The following is a 20,810-nucleotide window of genomic DNA, read 5'->3' on the forward strand; positions in this document are numbered from 1 at the left end:
CCTCATACACTGCCTATTTTCCGTGCTTTTCCTAACCAGAAGAGACCCTATTTTTCTCCTTTGCTTGTTAAAGCGAAAATAATTATGCAGCTTTCCATAGATTTGTCCCCAATGTCTTTTTAAAAAAATTTTTTTTCTTTATTTTCTAAAAGTAGCATTGGAAATGTTATCTCCTTCAATTTCATCACCTCTTCATCCTCCTTGGAAACCCGATCCATGGTGGGTATTAAGATCTTTACATTTGTACTGGTTGGGCGATGACTTCATTGCTTTCAAGCCAGCTGGGGGATCTTGTGTGGCAGAGCATCGGACCGAAGCGGAGGTGTGGGTCGTTGCTGCTGCTGCTGCTGCTACTGCTGCAACAGCTCTTTGCACGCGCCCAGCTGCTGTGTAAGGAATCCTCAGGCTGCTAGGTCTTTGCGCCTAACTCACCCAAGGGACCGCAAGCTGCTGGATGAGTGTACGTGTGAGTGTGTGTTGTGTGTGTGCATATGTGCGTGTGTGTGTGCACACGCAGCGGCAACAGTTGGGCAGCAGCAGCAATGGACTTCGATATCATTTTTACCAACAACAGAGATAAACCATCCTCCATCCTGTATTTCTCAGCTCCCGCCCCGAGTATGTTCTCCCCCTCTTCTCCGACTTCCCCCACCCCAGCCCCCGGCACGGGTCCCTCCGGAGGGAGGGCAGGGTAGCTGCGCTGCAGGCAGGATTCCCTCTTTTTTCCGCAGTGACAGGCGGATTCCGGGGCCTCCTCGCCACCTCCTACCCCCGCAGCCACCCCTTTCTCAGTCACGATCTCCCCACCCCACCACCGTCGACCCTCTCCCTGCTTCCCCGCTCTACCCCCCGGCGTCGACTCCAGGCTCGGGCCCCGCCCCTCTCAGCCTCTCCAGCCCAGGTTGCTAGGGCTTGGCGGGGCAACCAAACCTGGCGTGCCAGGAGGCGCGGCGCGCGCGTGAGCGCGCAGGCGAGCTTGTATAAGGAACCAGCGTTCTTCGGCTTCGGAGACTCGAGCACGAGCGGCGCGAGCCCGAACCCCAGGACAAGCGCTTCCTCCTCATTGGCTCCTACCAGAAGGGGGCGGGGTAAAGGCGGGATCGGGCAAAACCTGAGGTGCTTTCCCATTGGTCCGAACGGGCCGGCTGGGGCGGGGCAGTTAGCAAAATAGGCTGCGCGTTCGCTTCTGCTAGAGGGCGGGGCCGGAGGTTTCGATTAGTTGTCTCTGCCGCTGGGGAAGGTAAAGCGGCGACGGCGTCCTCAGGAGCTGTGGGGTCCCCTGCTAGAAGTGGGGGACTCGGCGGGGTGAGTAGTCGCGCCGCCACCCGCCCGCCAAGCCTTCTTACCCTTACATCGGCCCCGCGTCCACCCAGCTTCTCCTGAGAGTGGAGACCCACCCAGTCCCCCCGGGCGGACAAGAGAAGGGGCGGGGGCGCCGGTTCCCCCGGAACGGGGCGACGCGGTGAGGACGTCCCAGCCCGGAGTAGCCCCTCCTCAGCGCTCCCCTGCGCCTCTGGAAGGGCTTCCCCCGAGGGGCTGGGGCTGTCTTTTGGGGTGTGGGGAGGCGAAAGGGTGTGAAAGAGGGGCGGCGGGTCGAGCCCGCCCCGCGGGGTTCCCCTCAGCGGCGGGTCTGCGGCGTCCCCGCCCCGCCGCTCCCGCGGCACGAGCTCCCCGGGGCTTGCGGCGAGGTAAGCCCCTTCCCGCCGGCGCCGAGGAGGGGCCTGCGCGCCCCAGCCCCCTGCCCGAGTTCGGAGGGAGCCCGAGACTCGCCAGGGGCCGTCAGTCGCGGCCCGGGCCCTTCTGACCTTGGCTGCCCGCGAGGGTGGGCTAGCGACCGGGCGCCGGCCCCGCGGCTCCGCAACCTCCCCCGGACAAGTTTCAGGCGATGCTGTGAAGTTCACGACTGGCATAGTGCGGGGAAGAAGAATGGCCCCTTCTCAGACCTTCATACCTTTTGGACCCTCATAGAAATCGGATTCTGGGATTTGGAACCGTCTCCCAGAACGAACAGGTCCTCCTTGCATTGACACGTTTTGTGCCCACGTTGGGGAAAAAAATAACCTGAACATATTTCAGTGTAAAGGCAGATCTTCCTTGAGGGTTTTGTTTTTCGCTTCATTTGAGTGTTAAAGAACAGATGCCTGAATAAGAAAAGCCTGACCTTAGTATCTCTACAGTGAGATTAGACGGGTGCTGTGATATTTAAGTAGTTGCAGATCAGTATTCTGTTAGCACAATCTATTTTAATTGGCTGGAATTTAAGCTGATTTTAGAAAGTATTGTTGACACCGAATGATTTCTTTCTGTGCATCTGAATTAGGTTTGTTTGAACGTAATGGTTATATAGTTAATGTAAAAGATTACACAAATTAATTTGTCTGAGAGCGTTTGTCAGAAACAGGAGACAGAGATGTGTATAGAACAGGATTATCGTTTTAGGTAACATCTGCTGGAACATTTCCAGCTTGTTTCTTTCTTGCTGTAGGGTTACAAAAAAGACATCTTCACCGAGGCTATTCGGAATTACATGTGAGTGACACTTAGATGTAAATTTGTTTTTATTTCCTTCAAGTGTTTTAAAATGTTTTGTTCACAAAATGTGAAGAGGCTATATTTACTTGTTCCTGTATGTTAGTGTTGAAGGTGATAGTATGATCTTATGATTAACAATCCAATTAGGGTCCATTAATAATAGATTTTTAAAAAAGGCGTGCTGCTTTTCGAGAATATGATAGGTTGAGTACCTAGCAAGACTTCTAATTTCTTTTTATTAAAAGTACTATTTTAGGATTGAGAATTTTTGGCGTTGACACTGAAACCAGGAATAAGGAAGCCTGCAGCAGTCTTAGCAGTTTGACACCACCAGTAGGTGTTTCTGTTGACAAATGCAGAGAAGAGAACATTTGGGAAGGAAATCTTTTTTTCGGGGCGGGGGTTGGGGGGGAGGTGAGGGTGGTTGAGGGGGGAAGGAGCCAGAAGAGAGAAGCTAATGCTGCCAGCACTGTATGCTGAGCATTTCACAAGTACAAGGAAACCTAATTAGGGAAAAATTCCGTTTGGCTCTATTAAATAATAGAACTACAAAAGAGGCATACTAAATAAAGTTAACCATTCCAAGAGTGTTAGATATTATCTGCCATTTCAGAGTAGTTGGGGGTTCCTCAATTGGAGAGGGTATCAAATCTCTTTGAATTGTCTTGCCTTTTTAACATAGTCAATGCAGCGATTAATTTGCTAGATGTATATATATCAAACAGTTGAGTATTCCAGTTTTGTTGTTTAGCATATTTCCTAAGCCTAAATTTTTTAAAATCAAAATCCGATATATTTTTTTTAAATTTGAAATAGAATTCTTTGTCCAGAGAGTAATTCCTTTTTTCCTGGCTCAGTCTTAAAATTTATTCATGATTTAGGGGTTTGTGATTGGTATTTTTTTACCCCTTTTTCTCAGGTTTTTGATTTTTACTTATGCAAGTTCCCTAAGTCTGCCTTTGTTTATATTGTAATTTTCTTGGAATTATTTAAATCAGAGTGTGGCATCTATTGTGTCCCCTGGGGTTTTAAAAGGAAAGGCTCCCATTGAAAGAAATTGCAGGGCCGTCTCGCATAGATGGGTAATAGAAGGTTGACTGATTGCGAATCAGATGTATTCGGTTGCAAATATGCTGCTTGGGGTTAAGGCAGTTTCAGTTAACGGGAACCAGATTTTACGTGGTGTTTCTACTTTGAAGGTACAGTATTGTTACATTACAAACTGAAAGACAGAGGTGGAGAAATTCCTTTAAGTATCACCCCTAGCCTTGTTTCACCACTGTGTCCAGGAATCTATGAGAGACTGTTAACAATAGCTGCATTGTTGGAAATGACAGTGGCTTCTCTTGCAGAAAGTTAACCTTTCATTATGATTTTCATTTCAGTTTACTTTGTAAAAGAAAATTTAGCTTTATCTGAGAAATTGGCTGTAAGAAATTTGCAAAGAGAGCAAGGAAAATAGGTTTTCTTCAACGTGTCTGTTAAAATTCACATTCTCTCCCCTTCCGTTTTGATAACTGGTGGTGATCTTTATTTCCTCTAGATATTAGGTATGCTAACACAGTACCTGATTTTTGGCAGTTACTGTGGGAATATGACTTTTTTATGTAATAAATTGATGTCAAATAATAATATGAGGCTTTTAGGAATAATTAATTCACATGCATAGATCTAAAACATGAGGGAAATCTTTTAGATGACCCTTCACTTTGGTACAAGAATAGCACAATTTGAAGTATTAAGTTGCTTTCTAAGTAGAAAAAGCTATTTACTCAGAATTGGGTAATTTTAGATTTTAAAGTTTTTTTTTTTTTTTTGCAACATCAAATAATTTGGCAACATCAAATTTCTTGTTAAAGGAGGCGACAGAATCTCACAGATTCTTTATCATCTGATCATGGCATCAGTTGGACTACATTTCAACTTAGGACAATAATGCAATTAAAAGACTACATTTAAACTTTCTGTTTGGAGGTTTTTCTAATTTGCTTTCAATCTCAAGCCCAATGTTAGAAATCTTTTGTTGGTGACGCACAATTTTAGTGTTCAGATTTTAGGTTTTGATCGTTTTTAGAATTTTTTTTTATGTGTGTAGAGCAGCGCATGGATGACTGAATTAATCAAAGATCTGGCCTCATTTCTCATTCAAGTTTGTACATTTCTTCACACTGAGATACGAGCTTGGGTGCAATTCTGTTGGTGGGCGTGAAAGCTGAGGGTAAGGACCTTCTACCTAGAGACTGATAACATTTAAATATTTCAGATTTGGGAATTAATAGAAAGTTATTTATTAGGTTAAAAGGAACTAGCCCATTCAGGTATTTGAAAATGATTGTCAATACTTTGAATTAAGCTCTTAGAAACATTGGGGTTTGAGACAATCCTAATCAGGGTCAGGTTTTGGGTGTGGTCTCTCTTTTGGGCAGTCTTCTCTGTAATAATTATAATACTCCATCTATTGAGCCTTACTGCATGCCAGACACTGTGACACGTAATTTATTTGCATGAATACATGTGTGTTCTCACAACAGCTCTATGAAGTAGGTCTTCTTACCTCCTGTATACATGTCAAATGGGCTCAGAGAAATAAAGTACTTTGCTCAGATTACCCAGCTAGTCATCAGAAACAGCAAAATTGCCATCCAAACTGGTCTGACTTGAAGCCGTGCTCTTCAAAACCATGCTTTCTGCTTCTCTTTAGGAAACTGATTTCCCAAGCATATTTATTTTTGACACCGGGTCTCACTCTGTTGCCCAGGCTGAAGTGCAGTGGTGTGATCACAGCTTGCTGCACCCTTAACTTGGCAGACTCAGTGGATCCTCCCATCTCAGCCTCCTAGTAGCTGGAGACTACAGGCACGTGCTCCCATACCAGGCCAATTTTTCTTTATTTTTAATAGAGGCGGGGTCTCATGATGTTGCTCAGGCTGGTCTTGAACTCCTGGCGTCAAGCGATCCTCCTGCTTTGGCCTCCCAAAGTGCTTGGACTACAGGCATGAGCCACCGCCAGGCCCACCCCAAGGGTATTTTGAGTTCCTACTGTATATTATGCCTCGGGTGTACTGAAGGTATATGTATGCTTCTTGGAGTTCATGGGCTACATTGGCAAGGCTGCTGGACCTTTAGTCACATGGGGGACTGAACTCAGATCCATCAGGACTGCTAGATAGGACAATTGGAAGTGCAGACTTTTCTAACCAGAGGGTCAGACTTTTCTAACAGAGGTTCTGTTTCTTCATAAATGAAGGCTGTACATAATCATGCCAAAAATGAGGTAGTTGTTTCTAATTAGCTACTTGGTATTTCATGTTTCTGGATATTGCATTATAACTTTTGATGGACTTTGATTACATTTGCTACACTAATAAAGGCTTCGAAGATACTCCTTGAATTCAATTTTGTGGCTTAGATATACCCTTGAAGTAAAATGGCAGCCATTATAATTTGCAGATGGGCACCTCTTGTGTAATTATGACCAGTGAAATAAAATCTGGAGGTAAAGTCTATAGAGATATATTATTGTGTGTGCGTGTTTTTTTGAGATGGAGTCTCGCTCTGTTGCCTAGGCTGGAGTGCAATGGCGTGATCTCGGCTCACTGCAACCTCCGTCTCCTGGGTTCAAACGATTCTCCTGCCTCAACCTCCCAAGTAGCTGGGATTACAGGTGCATGCCACCATGCCCAGCTAATTTTTTTGTATTTTAGTAGAGACGGAGTTTCACCGTGTTGCCCAGGCTGGTCTCGAACTCCTGAGCTCAGACAGTCCCCCCGCTTCAGCCTCCCAAAGTGCTAGGATTACAGGCATGAGCCACTGCGCCCACCGCTTGTTGTGTGCTAATACAGAGGTTGGACTCTGAAAATTTTTCTACATGAAAGTAGAACTTTCTGCTATTTAAAGCTTCTTGTGATTAAAACAAATTTTCTTTACATTTTTAATTTTTTTTTTCTTTTTTTTTTGAGATGAGTCCCCCACTCTGTTGCCCAGGCTGGAGTGCAGTGATGGGATCTCGGCTCGCCGCAACCTCCGCCCCCCAGGTTCAAGTGATTCTCTTGCCTTAGCCTCCTGAGTAGCTGGAATTACAGGCGCCTGCCACCACGCCTGGCTAATTTTTTTGCATTTTTAGTAGAGACGGGGTTTCACCATGTTGGCCAAGTGGTCTCGAACTCCTGACCTCAGGTGATCTTCCTGCCTCGGCCTCCCAAAGTGTTGGGACTACAGGCATGAGCCACCGCACCTGGCGGTGATTTTTTTTTAAAACAAGACCCATCATTAAGAGAACTAAACAGTTATGTGCCCTAAGGAACACTTAGAAGTCCATGTTAGGAAAAAAGAAAACTTAACATCTTTTTCTGTAATCGATTAAAATCACTTTTGTTACCTATTTAAGTTAGAAAGTGCTGATGAATACTGTAGAGCCTCAGGGCCAGAAATATCTTGGCCAAAGCAGGACCATATTTCTACACAGGTGGGACCTGTGTGTTAATTTTGTTGATTTCTTTTCTTTTTTTTTTTTTTTTGAGACGGAGTCTCGCTCTGTTGCTCAGGCTGGAGTGCAGTGGCGCGGTCTCGGCTCACTGCAAGCTCTGCCTCCCGGGTTCACGCCATTCTCCTACCTCAGCCTCTGGAGTAGCTGGGACTACAGGCGCCCGCCACCATGCCTAGCTAATTTTTTTTTTTGTATTTTTAGTAGAGACGGGTTTCACCATGTTAGCCAGGATGGTCTCGATCTCCTGACCTCGTGATCTGCCCACCTCGGCCTCCCAAAGAGCTGGGATTACAAAATTTTGTTGATTTCTTTATAACGTAATGGAGGTGTACTTTACATACCATAAAACTCACCTTTTTAGTGTATGATTCAATTATTTTTAAGTTAATTTATGGAGTTGGTGTGACTATCATTACAATCCAGTTTTAGAACATTTCCATCACCCCCCAAAATTCTCTCCTGTCAATGAGTTTTTTTTAACCTTATTTACTTGCTTCACCTAGACCTCTCCTTTTTTTGAGACAGGGTCTCACTCTGTTGCCTAGGCTGGAGTGCAGTGGTGTGATCTCACCTCACTGCAACCTCCACCTCCCAGGCTCGAGCGATCCTCCCACCTCAGCCTCTTGAGTAGCTGGAACTACAGGCACATGCCACTGCACCTGGCTAATTTCTTTCTTTCTTTCTTTCTTTCTTTTTTTTTTTTTTTTTGAGATGGAGGCTCGCTCTGTCACCCAGGCTGGAGTGCAGTGGTGTGATCTTGGCTCACTGCAACCTCTGCCTCCTGGGTTCAAGCGATTCTCCTGCCTCAGCCTCCTGAGTAGCTGGGATTACAGGCATGTCCACCATGCCCGGCTAATTTTTGTGTTTTTAATAGAGACAGGGTTTCACCATGTTGGCCAGGCTGGTCTTGAACCCCTGACATCAGGTGATCTGCCTGCCTCAGCCTCCCAAAGTACTAGGATTATAGGCATGAGCCATCATGCCTGGCCCACCTGGCTAATTTTTGTATTATTAGTAGAGACAGGATTTCACCATGTTGGCTAGGCTGGTCTCGATCTCCTGGGCTCAAGCAATCTGCCCGCTTCGGCCTCCTAAAGTGCTAGGATTACAGGTGTAAGCTACCGTGCCTGGCCAACCTAGATCTTTTTGTCATCAGATACTGACAAATGAAATCATGTAGATCTTAAAAGATGTCTTTTTTTTTTTTTTTTTTTGAGACCGGATCTCAACTCTGTCACTCAGGCTAGAGTGCAGTGGTGTGATCACGGCTCACTGCAGTCTCCACCTCCCCAGGCTCAAGTGATCCTCCCACCTCAGCCTCCTGAGTAGCTGGGACTACAGGTGCAGGCTGCCATGCCTGGCTAATTTTTTTGTATTTTGTAGAGATGGGTTCTCACAGTTTTGCTCAGGCTGGTCTTGAACTCCTGAGTTCCCTACTTTGGCCATTCCCCTACTTTGGCCTCCCAAAGTACTGGGATTACAGGCATGAACCACTGTGCCTGGTCTAAAAGATGTCCTTAAAAAATATCTTCTGGAGACCAGGCGTGGGTGGCTCACGCCTGTAATCCCAGCACTTTGGCAGGCCGAGGCGGGCGGATCATTTGAGGTCAGGAGTTTGAGACCAGCCTGGCCAACATGGTGAAACCCCATCTCTACAAAAAATACAAAAATCAGCTGAGTGCAGTGGTGTGCACCTGTAGGCCCAACCTCCTGGGAGGCTGAGGTGGGAAGATGGCTTGAGCTTGGGAGGCAGAGGTTGCAGTGAGCCAAGATCGTATCACTGCACTCCAGCCTGGGCAACAGGAGTGAAACCCTGTCTCAAAAAAAAAAAAGAAAAGAAAAGAAAAAAAATACACTTCTCGGCCGGGCCTGGTGGCTCACGCCTGTAATCCCTAGCACTTTGGGAGGCCGAGGCAGGCGGATCACCTGAGGTCGGGAGTTCGAGACCAGCCTGACCAACATGGAGAAGCCATCTCTACTAAAAATACAAAATTAGCCGGGCCTGGTGGCGCATGCCTATAATCCCAGCTACTCGGGAGCCTGAGGCAGAAGAATTGCTTAAACCGGGGAGGTGGAGGTTGCGGTGAGCCGAGATTGCATCATTGGACTCCAGCCTGAGCAACAAGAGCGAGACTCCGTTTAAATAAAAAAAAAAATTTTCACACACAGTATCATTTCATAATGCTTTTTGTATTTTCAAAAGTTCTTGCCTATGCATAATACATAGCGGAATTTAAAGGATCATAACTGCAAATGATATAAATTACCTTGTGTTTGTGGCTTAAATTTTATTTTCATTTGATCTTTTTTAAACCAGCAAATAAAATACAACATTCTTGGTGATATGTTGGGAATGCAGGGAAAATAAATGAAGGTAAAAGTAATGTAATTATTGTGCAAGAAAAAGTTACTTTCAAATGTAAGAGCACAGGGAAACAATTGGTTTTCTTGATTTTAAGCTAATGACATTGTGCATTTTGTTGTTTGGACCTCTAATCCCCCTTGACAGATCCATGCCTAATGCGCGTGTCGTAGAGCAGGCTTCATCAAATTTAGGTATTTAGACACTGTGTCTACTTCAGACTGGATTGTGATGGGATTTGCAAACAGCTTAACATGCAAGGTACTGTAACTGCCTTTTCCTGCCTGCATCATTTTCTTCTTAGTTACCTTCTAGGGTGGGCTGAGGAGTAAGGCCAGCTTAGGAACGGGAAGTCTCATCAGCACAGGCTGATCCCCACTTGTGCAGGTTTCCTCCTTTGCTCAGTGTATTGCTTGGGTAGACGGACACTGCTTAGGGATGTTATTTTTTTGGGTACATATAGGAGAGGAATGTAATGGTTTGGTTAGAAGTAAAGTGTTTTGGAAAATGTATCTAATTTTCTTTGCTTTTAGATGAACATTTCTCTATGGAAAGTGACCCTTATATGTACCAGGCAGGTAAATCAATAACTCCTTGTGTGGTTGGTTGTGTCTGGATTTTTAATGGCAAACAGGTTAGACACACGGCACTGGTCTGATATTAATATTTTACTGTCAGTTCAATCGTAACTGGTTTGAAATAGGCATAGGTAACATGAAGTGCCAGTGTAACTTGATTTTGATAGTAAGAACAACTTTGGTTTCTGGAAATTAACAAAACATATATAAATAATATATATTGTTTAAAAGGATTATGTTATTTTAGGTAAGTTGCAATTTTAGATATCAGTTTTAAACTGTGTATTTTGTATTATGGGCCAGGCATGGTGGCTCATGCCTGTAATCCCAGCACTTTGGGAGGCCAAGGTGGGCGGATCCCTTGAGGTCAGGAGTTCGAGACCAGCCTGGACAACAAGGTGAAACCCTCTCTCTACAAAAAATACAAAAATTAGCTGAGTGTGGTGGCACGCACCTGTAATCCCAGCTACTCAGGAGGCTGAGTCGGGAGAGTCCCATGAACCTGGGAGGCAGGGGTTGCAGTGAGCCAAGGTCGCACCACTGTACTCCAGCCTGGGCCACAGAGTGAGACTCTATCTCAAAAAGGAAGAAAAAGATTTTGTATTATGTTTAAAGATTAGGTTCTTGGAAGTATGAGATTGTATTTTGATAATTAAAGTAAACATATACAGTCTCATGAGGAAGATATGACAGATAAAAAAAGGTGGTGAGTAATAGTTGAAGAACAACTTACTGACCCGGATTTACCTGATTACCCTGACATTGCTGATTTTAGAAACTAATTTCCTGATGAGTAGAATCTTTCAAAGATTACCAGAGGCTGGGTCAGATGTGACATATCCTAGAATTTATCCACACCCTCAGACACACACCCCACCAAGGTTTGTCAGCCGCTTATGGGATATATTAACTTTAATTGCTAGTAATTATTATTCCTAATATTACCACTAAATTCAAGTTTAGCAATGCAAATGAAAAGAAAAAATTTGATTTTAATTGTACTTACTGAAAATAGTTGGGGTAGACAAAAGCTAATTTTGTGCAAATAATTATTTTATACTTTATCAATTATTTATTTCTCAAATAACCTGTCCTACATCCTGAGGATCTGTCCTTCATTCATTTAACAAATATTACTTAATGATTCTGTATTGTGTGCCAGACTTTGCTGGAGACTACATGGAGTGATAAAATGTAAGTAGGCCCTGCCCTCAAAAAATTAATTAATTAATTTTTGAGACAGAATCTCACTCTGTCTCCCAGGCTGGAGTGCAGTGGTGCGATCTTGGCTCACTGCCACCTCCGCCTCTTGGGTTCAAGCGATTTTTGTGCTTCAGCCTCCCAAGTAGCTGGGACTACAGGTGCGTGCCTCCACACCTGGCTAATTTTTGTATTTTCAGTAGAGACGGGGTTTCACTATGTTGGCCAGGCTGATTTCGAACTCCTGACCTCAAGAGATCCACCCACCTTGGCCTCCCAAAGTGCCATGATTACAGGTGTGAGCCGGCCAAAGAATTTAGTCTTGAGATGGAGGCAGAGGAGAACTGCAGAACACTATGGGAGTGTACTTGACCCTTGAACAAGGTAGGGGTTAGGGTGCTGACCCTCACGCAGTCAAAAATCCAAGTATAACTTTTGACCCCCCCAAAAACTTAACTACTAAAATGGCCTACTGTTGACTGGAAGCCTTATTGGTAATATAAATAGTCAATTAACACATTGTTTTGTATGTTATATGTATTATGTAGTATATTCCTACAGTAAAGTAAGCCAGAGAAGAAAATGTTATTAAAATCATAGGAAGAGAAAAGATACTTACTATTCATTAAGAGGAAGTGGATCATTATAAATGTGCTCATCGTCTTCACATTGAGTAGGCTGAGGAGGAAGAGGGAGGGGTTGTCTTGCTGTCTCAGCAGGGGCAGAGGTGGAAGAGGTAGAGAAGGTGGAAGGGGAGGCAGGAGAGGGAGGCACACTCAGTGTAATTTATATTGAAAAAAAATCTGGGTATAAGTAGATCCATGCAGTTCAAACCTGTGTTGTTCAAGGGTCAACTGTATGTAACAGGGTAGGGTTGGAGAGTCTGTCCTTGGGGGAAGAGGTGGGAAGGTCGCTCTGAGGAAGTAACATTTAAGTGAGACCCGAAGAATGAGAAGGACCTGGTCTAGTTGGGGAAATAAGTTTTCCAGACAGAAGGTGCAAATGTGATGAGGCAAGGTGAGAGAGCTGGGGTTTTTGCACAACAGAACCTTTTAAAGAACTGAAAGAGGGCTGGGCATGGTGGCTCACACCTGTAATCCCAGCACTTTGGGAGGCTGAGGCAGGCAGATCACTTGAGCCCAGGAGTTTGAGACCAGCCTGGGCAACATGGCAAAACCCCATTTCTACAAAAATGCAAAATTAGCCAAGTGTGGTGGTATGTGCCTGTAGTCCCAGCTACTCCCAGAGAGTAAGCTGGGAGGATTGCTTGAGCCCAGGAGCTGGAGGCTGCAGTGAGCCGTGATTATGCCACTGCACTCCAGCCTGGGTGACAGCGAGACTCTTGACTCAAAAAAAAAAAAAAAAAAAAAAAAAGAACTGAAAGAAATCTAAAACGACCAGAAAATAGAGAAACAGGCATTGAAGCACAAGTTGGCAGCAGGGGCCAGGTCTTGAAAAGGTTTAGTAGGCCATTTTGCTGGGTTTTTGAACTTGTCCTAAATCTCCTGGGAAACGGTTGAAGATTTTAAGGAGGGGTGTGACATGAAATGAAATGCTACAAAACCCAAGAATTTTAGTTCAATGGAACCTTGGTAATTTACCAGAAAGGTCATAATCTCTGCAAAGTAAAATATTCTTCCCTTGTTTCATTAAAATTTTTGTAACTCCTTTCTTGATTGATTGTCGTCTGCGGTACTCCTTTCATTGTTTTTGTAGAAATTCCCTTTAATTTTCTAAAGGTACCTTTTCTTTTATCCCTCACTGTTCTGTTAACCTTATATAGGAATGTCATTTCTATTTATAACTGAATTAGAATATTTTTTCTAACAGCTTTAGCTCTCTTCCATATTTAAACTTAAAATTCTTTGCTGTTTTTTTCCCTCCAGACACCTTTAATCTGCTCGAAGTATTTAATGTTTTAACGAAATGTTTCATTAAGTTTGCTTTATTCTTTTGTTCTTCCAAATACAGTGTCTTAGATCTAGTTTAATATTTCTCAGCATTTATGCTATTTCATGTTTTATGAAATCACATGTGAGCACCCAGAATGTTTTTAGAAAATTTTGTTACTATTGTATAGGAGCACTACTCTTCATCAGGAGCACCATTTTCAAATCTGGTTCACATTCTGTGGCCTTATCTTTTACATTAAATTGGTCTCTGTTAAACATTTTATGTTCAGGTGGGCTTATGTATATATAAGTGCTATAAAGGTGTTATTTTTTATATCCTGATTTGTTTCTTTCTCCGACAATAAATGCCCCTACATGCTGAATTCTTTTTAGGAAATCTTTGCCATACTAAGTTTGTGATTGCCTTGGTGATTGTGTGAGCATTCATTCAAGTCTTTCTTGGTGTAAAGTTGTTAGCTCATGCCTGTAAAGAATACTTTTGCCCACTGTTCCTCTCCACATATACGAAGAATAACTGCAGCATCACCTCTTTCAAATAGTTCCTTGGAAATCTACATAGTGATTCAGGCTTGAATTGAGTTCGCTTTTGCCATGAGTTATTTTCTTTCTTTTCTTTTTTTTTGAGACGGAGTCTTGTTCTCTTGCCCATGCTGGAGTGCAGTGGCGCAATCTCGGCTCACTGCAACCTCCGCCTCCCGAGTTCAAGCGATTCTCCTGCCTCAGCCTCCCGAGTAGCTGGGATTACAGGCATGTGCCCCCACGCCCGGCTAAGTTTTGTATTTTTAGTAAAGACGGGGTTTCACCATGTTGGCCAGGCTGGTCTCAAACTCCTGACCTCATGATCTGCCTGCCTTGGCCTCCCACAGTGCTGGGATTGCAGGCTTGAGCCACCATGCCTGGCCTGAAGAGGTACACTCAACAGGCACTTAAGGGGACTGGGAAAGGAAATGACTCTTGAGTGCTTGTGAAGAGTCTTAAAGGAAGTCCAGAATGTCAGGTGCAGGTAAAGGGTTTACAGGCAGAGGGTGCATTAAAAGACAAGGATCTGGCTGGCCGCGGTGGCTCATGCCTGTAATTCCAGCACTTTGGGAGGCCGAGGCAGGTGGATCACGAGGTCAGGAGTTCAAGACCAGCCTGGCCAACATGGTGAAACCCCCGTCTCTACTAAAAATACAAAAATTAGCCGGGCGTGGTGGTGTGTGTCTGTAGTCCCAGCTACTCAGGAGGCTGAGGCAGTAGAATCTCTTGAACCCTGGAGGCGGAGGTTGCAGTGAGCCAAGATTGCACCACTGCCCTCCAGCCTGGGCGACAGAGCGAACCTCCGTCTCAAAAAAAAAAAAAAAAAAAAGACAAGGATCTAAGGATGGGCATATAAAGCTGGGAGAATTGCAAGAAGTAATGTTTATTTATGTATTACATGCTTTGCTTTGATGCTTGTACCCTAGCTATATCCCAGGATCTTTTCTACTGTAAGCTCCGTGGAGGCAAGGAGTGTTGACTGTTGTACCCTCAGTATGTGGCACATTGCCTTGCACATAGGAAGTGCTCAATAAACACTTCCCTTATCAAAGGTGCCCCTTTTTGCCCCCCCCCCCGCCCCCCACCATTTCCTCATGTCTGTATCTTCTTCCTTGTGCAGTGGTATATCAGGTGCCTATCCAGTGGATCCTCCTCTCTGCTTACCCTATAGTTATGCCTGTCCTGTGTCTAGTTACCTGTGTAAGATATGTAATTGTTATAATTGGATCCACACTGGTAAATGAGTAGGTGCTAATAGCTCTCTGTGGGGCTCCAGAATCTTTTCTACCAACATTTATGGTATGGCAGATGAAGGGGAAGCCAAAGGTGACAACTACCAGAGTGACATATCTGAGCTTTTTTTCATGATTTATTGCATGAATTCATTGAAATGCTGAGTTCTATTCCATAATAGGTGTGTGTGTGTGTGTGTGTGTGTGTGTATGTGTATCTACATTGTACAATACAGGCATACTTTGGAGATAGTTTTGGTTTTAGACCACCACCATAAAGCAAATATTGCCATAAAGCAAGTCACACAAATTTTGTGGTTACTGAGTGCATATAAAAGCTTTGTTGGCTGGGCGTGGTGGCTCACGCTATATCCCAGCACTTTGGGAGGCCAAGGCAGGCAGATCACCAGAGGTTGGGAGTTCGAGATCAGCCTGGCTAACATGGTGAAACCCCATCTCTACTAAATATACAAAATTAGCTGGGTGTGGTGGCTCCCACCTGTAATCCCAGCTACTCGGGTGGCTGAGGCAGGAGAATCGCTTGAAGCCAGGAGGTGGAGGTTGCAGTGAGCTGGGATTGCATCACTGCACTCCAGTCTGGGCGACAGAGTGAGATTTGGTCTCCAAAAAAAAAAAAAAAAGCTTTGTTTATACTATACTGTAGTCTATTAAGTGTGCAATAACATTATGTCTAAAAAAAAAAAGCACATACTTTAATTAAAAATAATTTATTGCCAAAAAATGCTAGCAATAATTTGACCCTTCAGTGACCCATAACCTTTTTGCTGGTGGTGGGTTTTGCCTTAGTATTGATGGTGACTGACTGATCAGGATGGTGGTTGCTGAAGGTTGGGGGATCTGTGGCAGTTTCTTAAAATAGGACAGCAATGAAGTTTGCCATATCTGTTGACTGTTCCTTTCATTGTAGGTTCTTCTGTAGCATACGATGCTGTTTGATAGCGTTTTACCCACATTAGAACTATTTCTCCAAGCCTGCTGCTGCTTTATCAACTAAGTTTATAGAGTAGTGTATTTTTGAAATAGTCATTTCAAAAATGTTTAAGGCATCTTTACCAGTAGATTTCATCTCAGAAAAACAGTTCCTTTGTTCTTCCATAAGCAGCAACTCCTTTGTCCATTCATGTTTTATCATGAGATCACAGCAATTCAGTCATATCTTCAGGCTCCTCTTGCCTTGGCCTCCCAAAGTGGTAGGATTGTAGGTGTGAACCACTGCACCTGGCCATATCATTTTTTTGTGTGTGTTTTGGGTTTTTTTAGACGGAGTTTTGCTCTTGTTGCCCAGACTGTAGCACAATGGCACTATCTTGGCTCACTGCAACCTCTGCCTCCCGGGTTCAAGCAATTCTCCTGCCTCAGCCTCCCAAGTAGCTGAGATTACAGGCATGTGCCACCACACCTAGGTAATTTTGTATTTTTAGTAGAGACGGCGTTTCACTGTGTTGGTCAGGCTGGTCTCGAACTCCTGACCTCAGGTGATCCACCCACTTCAGCCTCCATATAATCTTTGTGTCTTTAAATGGGTATGTCTTTCCTTCTGCTAGGCCGTTAGTGCTGGTATTTGAGTTAATCTAGTTAGGAATTGGTGTAGCCAAGTCCAAGGTTGTACTACTCACCAAATGACAGCCAATAAGTTAAGAGACAAGGTGTTGGCGCAAAGAAAGCAACCTTATTTGGAGAGCCAGCAACCTGAGAAGATGGTGGACTAGTAATGTCCGAAAGAACCATCTTAATATGAATTTTCGCCTCCTTTTATGTTAGAGGAAGAGGGAAGAGGGAGGAGGTTGAGGTCAAGAGATGACTATGATGACCACAGACATCTAGGTGGCAGTGAGGGTCTGTGGAGGTTGTGAAACTTCTTTGTCCTTGGTCAGGTCACAATACTATAAATCTTTAACATGGCTGGGCATGGTGGCTCACTCCTGTAATCCTAGCACTTTGGGAAGCCGAGTCAGGCAGATAACTTGAGTCTAGGAGTTCAAGACCAGCCTGGGCAACATGGTGAAACACCGTCTCTATCAAAAATACAAAAATTAGCTGGGTGTGGTGGCACACACCTGTAGTCCCGCTACTCAGGAGGCTGAGGTGGGAGGATCACCTGAGCCCAGGAGGTCGAGGCTGCAGTGAGCCATGATTGCACCACTGCACTCTAGCCTGGGTGACAGAGTGAGACCCTGTCTCAAAAAAAAAAATCATTAACAACGTTGTTACTTGTGTGTACACTGCCCCTATCTCTTCAGGGGTTTTCAGAAGGGACTATTTGCTTTAAACTATAAACTGAATTTCTCCCATAGTTAGATGGTTTCACTGGGTGGTGGTGGGGGGGCTTAGAAGCAAAATGATGTTAGTCATGCTAGGCTTCCTTTTCACTGTTACATTGGGCTGGATTTGAGTTTTTTTGTGTTGTTATGGTTAACCTAGTGTACCCCAGTTTTCAAATTCTCTTAGAGATACTTTGTGATCAGGGTGGGAATTGGTTTACCAGAACAGTGTCTGTTCCAGTCTAAATTTCAGGTCTCCCCTTCGAAGTGTGCTTTAGTGAGGGTCTCTTTACATACTCTTGATTTTCTCCCGTCCCTTTCTCAGTGATATTCTGCTCTTACTGTTCCTGGAAGTTTGTTTGCTTGGAGGTGGGGAGGGGTGATAGGATGTGGTCTCTGTTCTTGATTAAGCCTCAGTTTCAGGCCTGACTCTCAGGATCTTGCCCCTTCCCTGGCTGTTGTATTGGGCTCAATGTGGAATCCTACCCCTCTCCCAGGACTTGGGCCCCCACCCCTCCTCCCTGCTGCTCTGATTTTTCACTATTGTCTTAAGGGTAGAAGTAACCATTGTCCTTTCTGTCACAGTGAAGGCTTGTCTTCCTGAGTGGAGATAGGGGAGAGTGATCTGAGGGTAGTGTCCAGCCTCTCAGGCTTAGCTGCTGCCCACCCCCAGGTTTGCATCACAATGAGCCTACCTCAGGACTCTTTAGAGCTCTGAGTGAGTGGGGTGGGGGAGTTGGAGGAGGAAGACCCTACAGGAAGTTGAGGTATCATATCCTCAATTTCTGTGACCCCCAGTGGTTTCACACTATCTTTTCAGCAAGCCACATTGGATTTCACGCATTTACTGACTCTTCTACCCGTTCTTTTTGGTGTCCAGCTGTACTCTCCAACAGGCGAGCACATGGTCGTCTCCTCTCTCCCTTCAGGTACTCTCCTTAGTTTTTGAGCCAACTGGTTGCTCTGTTGGTTTTTTTGTTTTGTTTTGTTTTGTTTTGTTTTGTTTTGTTTTGTTTTGAGGCGGAGTTTCGCTCTTTCGCCCAGGCTGAAGTGCTGTGGCGCGATCTCGGCTCACTGCAAGCTCCGCCTCCCGGGTTCACGCCATTCTCCTGCCTCAGCCTCCCGAGTAGCTGGGACTACAGGTGCCCGCCTCCACGCCCGGCTACTTTTTTTGTATTTTTGGTAGAGACGGGGTTTCACCATGTTAGCCAGGATGATCTCAATCTCTTGACCTCGTGATCCGCCCGCCTCGGCCTCCCAAAGTGCTGGGATTACAGGTGTGAGCCACCGCGCCTAGCGCTCTGTTGGGTTTAAAGAAAGTCTTGAATTTGAAATTAGTTCAGCTCTTTTTCATTGTAGTTCTCTTATTCCAGGGTTTAAGCCAGAAATTTGGTTACTCTTAAAATTTTAACATGAGCGTTTCCTTAAGTCTAAGCTTAATTATTATTCCTGTCCTCCTGAATAAGACCAAGAGTTTGGAATGATTTACTCCTTAACCGTCAGCCCCTCTTCCATGTTAATGTTATTTATGTGTTAGTTTTGCCTTATTTAAGCCACCTTACACCAATAAAAATAGTGAATATTTACTCATGTGCTTTTCAGGTTTCTTTGCTCACCATTCTTCCTTCACTCCATTTCTTCCTTCTTGGTTCAGTTTCTTCCTTCTTTATTAAAAAATGTTCTTAATTATTTCAGTAAGGGCCCCTTAATAGTAAATTTGGTTTTGGTGTTTGTGAAAGTGTCTGTACTTCACTTTTTCCCTTGAATGGTTGTTGAGCTGGGTCCAGAATTTTGGGTTAATTCCTTTCCCCGAGTACTTTGATGTTATTCTCTTGTGTTTTGACAAATTTGTAAATTTTTTTTAACTTTTAAGTTTGGGGCTACATGTGAAGTTTTGTTACATAGGTAAACACATGTCACAGGGGTTTGTTGTACATATTATTTCATCATCCAGGTAATAAGCCCAGTACCTAGTAGTTATCTTTTCTGCTCCTCTCCTTCCTCTCACCCTTCCCCTCAGGTAGAGGGGGATAGTTAATGTTATTCTTTTGTGTTTTGACAGATTTTTAAATTTTGTTTAACTTTTATTTTAGGTTTGGGGGTACACCTGAAGGTTTGTTACATAGGTAAACACATGTCTTAGGGGTTTGTTGTACAGATTATTTCATCACCCAGGTATTAAGCCCAGTACCCAATAGTCATTTTTTCTGCTCCTCTCCCTCCTCCCATCCTCCACCCTCAGGTAGTCCCCAATTTCTGTTGTTTCCTTGTGTTCATAAGTTCTTATCATTTAGCTCCCGTTAATTTTTAGTTTTTTGGTCTAGGCTGGTCTGGAACTCCTGGCTTCAAGTGATCCTCCTCAGCCTCCCAAAGATCTGGGATTACAGGTGTGAACCACTGCACCTGGCCTAGTTTTATTTGCTAATGACAAGTCAACAGTCAGTTTAGTTGTAATTTCGTTGTAGGTAAGTAATTCTCTCTCCTCTTGAGCTACTTTTAAGAGCTTTTCCTTGTTTATTTATTTATTTTTTATTTACAGTACTTTTGAGTTGCTGTTTATTTCCTTGTTTTTTTGATCTTCAGGGTTTTTTTTTTTTGCGATATCTCTAGGTGTGGATTTGTTTTATGTATCCTGCTTTTATTTGATGTATTCCATTAGTCTGAGGACCCCTGATGTCTTCAGCTGTGGGAGAAAATCTTAGCCATTATCTTTTAAAATAGTTTCGTCTCCATTTTCCATTTATGGAACCATTATTTAGATATGTTTTGGGATTTTTCATCACATCCTTCGTGTTGTTTAATTTACATTTCTATCTCTTCTGGCTAATCTCTTGACATCTATCATACGATTCACTAATTTCCTCTTTGGCTGTGCAGTTAATTTGTTAACTTATTGAGGGTTTCACTAAAAACATTTGGCTATATATAGTCAAATATATAAATATTGATATTTATACAAATATACAAATATATATGTGTGTACAAACATATATATACATGTTTTAAAGATAGGATCTTGCTGTGTTGCCCAGGTTGGTGTTGAACTCTTGGTCTCAAGTGATCCTCCCACCTTGGTCCCCCAAAGTGCTGGGATGTACAGGCATGAGCCACTGTGCCCCACCTCGAATATATTTTCAAATTTAAGAATTTCTGTTACATTTTCTTTCAAACCTGTATTTAAATTTTCTTTCAAATCAGCTTTTAAATTTTCATAAGAGCATTTTCTTTGGACATTTAAAAATATAGTTATGTTTAAGTCCTCTTTGGATTATTTTCTTAGCTGTAATTTTTGAGGAATGAAATCTCCCATTTGGCTTCCCTTCTTCCCTCCAAGATTTTTGCTGTTTCTCCGTGTGGTGTGCAGTATTTGACAATTTAACGATTGTTTGCCTATGCCCGGGTTGTGGAATGCTCTTTTGGTCTAGTTTTGCATTTGTCTCTGATGGGACCCTTTGGGTTCACTGCGTCTAGAGAGGTTTTGGTCTATTCTCAGATGGGTCTCCAGCACCTGGAAAGTAGTGTAAATTTTGACTCCATATTTGTGTAGAACAGACTTGGGGTTTTCCCTTCTGTTTGGGTCACTTTTTTTTTTTTTTTTTTTGAGACGGAGCCTTGCTCTGTTGCCTAGGCTGGAGTGCAATGGCACGATCTCAGCTCACTGCATCCTCTGGTTCCCGGGTTCAAGTGATTCTCCTGCCTCAGCCTC

At 43.8% G+C, this 20,810-nt stretch overlaps 1 protein-coding gene across 3 annotated transcripts in view, besides 4 other annotated features; it reads left to right on the forward strand.

Annotated features, from left to right (window-relative positions):
* Positions 839 to 1,133: an enhancer, noted in NCBI's record as "tiled region #2020; K562 Activating non-DNase unmatched - State 4:PromP". NCBI's record gives its function as "activates a minimal TATA promoter and a strong SV40 promoter by Sharpr-MPRA in K562 cells {active_cell/tissue: K562}" and the evidence as "EXISTENCE:reporter gene assay evidence [ECO:0000049][PMID:27701403]".
* The window catches only part of CDKL5 (cyclin dependent kinase like 5), a 228,022-nt gene continuing 208,429 nt past the window's right edge, over positions 1,218 to 20,810 (forward strand). For 2 of the 3 annotated variants that reach the window (NM_003159.3, NM_001323289.2), the window contains exon 1: positions 1,218 to 1,305. The gene's annotated coding sequence lies outside the window, so the exon portion shown is untranslated. Of the gene's footprint in view, positions 1,306 to 17,833; positions 17,872 to 17,984; positions 18,034 to 20,810 lie in introns of those variants that run through there. The other variant, NM_001037343.2, reaches the window with a different exon arrangement.
* Positions 1,469 to 1,538: a silencer, noted in NCBI's record as "silent region_20685". NCBI's record gives its function as "represses an Ori minimal core promoter by ATAC-STARR-seq in GM12878 lymphoblastoid cells {active_cell/tissue: GM12878}" and the evidence as "EXISTENCE:reporter gene assay evidence [ECO:0000049][PMID:35858748]".
* Positions 17,687 to 18,188: an enhancer, noted in NCBI's record as "H3K4me1 hESC enhancer chrX:18460197-18460698 (GRCh37/hg19 assembly coordinates)". NCBI's record gives its function as "activates a minimal SCP1, AML or CMV promoter by ChIP-STARR-seq in primed H9 embryonic stem cells {active_cell/tissue: H9 hESC(primed)}" and the evidence as "EXISTENCE:reporter gene assay evidence [ECO:0000049][PMID:30033119]".
* Positions 18,189 to 18,688: an enhancer, noted in NCBI's record as "H3K4me1 hESC enhancer chrX:18460699-18461198 (GRCh37/hg19 assembly coordinates)". NCBI's record gives its function as "activates a minimal SCP1, AML or CMV promoter by ChIP-STARR-seq in primed H9 embryonic stem cells {active_cell/tissue: H9 hESC(primed)}" and the evidence as "EXISTENCE:reporter gene assay evidence [ECO:0000049][PMID:30033119]".

This window comes from Homo sapiens, chromosome X (genome assembly GCF_000001405.40).
Source record: "Homo sapiens chromosome X, GRCh38.p14 Primary Assembly".
Taxonomy (NCBI): domain Eukaryota; kingdom Metazoa; phylum Chordata; class Mammalia; order Primates; family Hominidae; genus Homo; species Homo sapiens.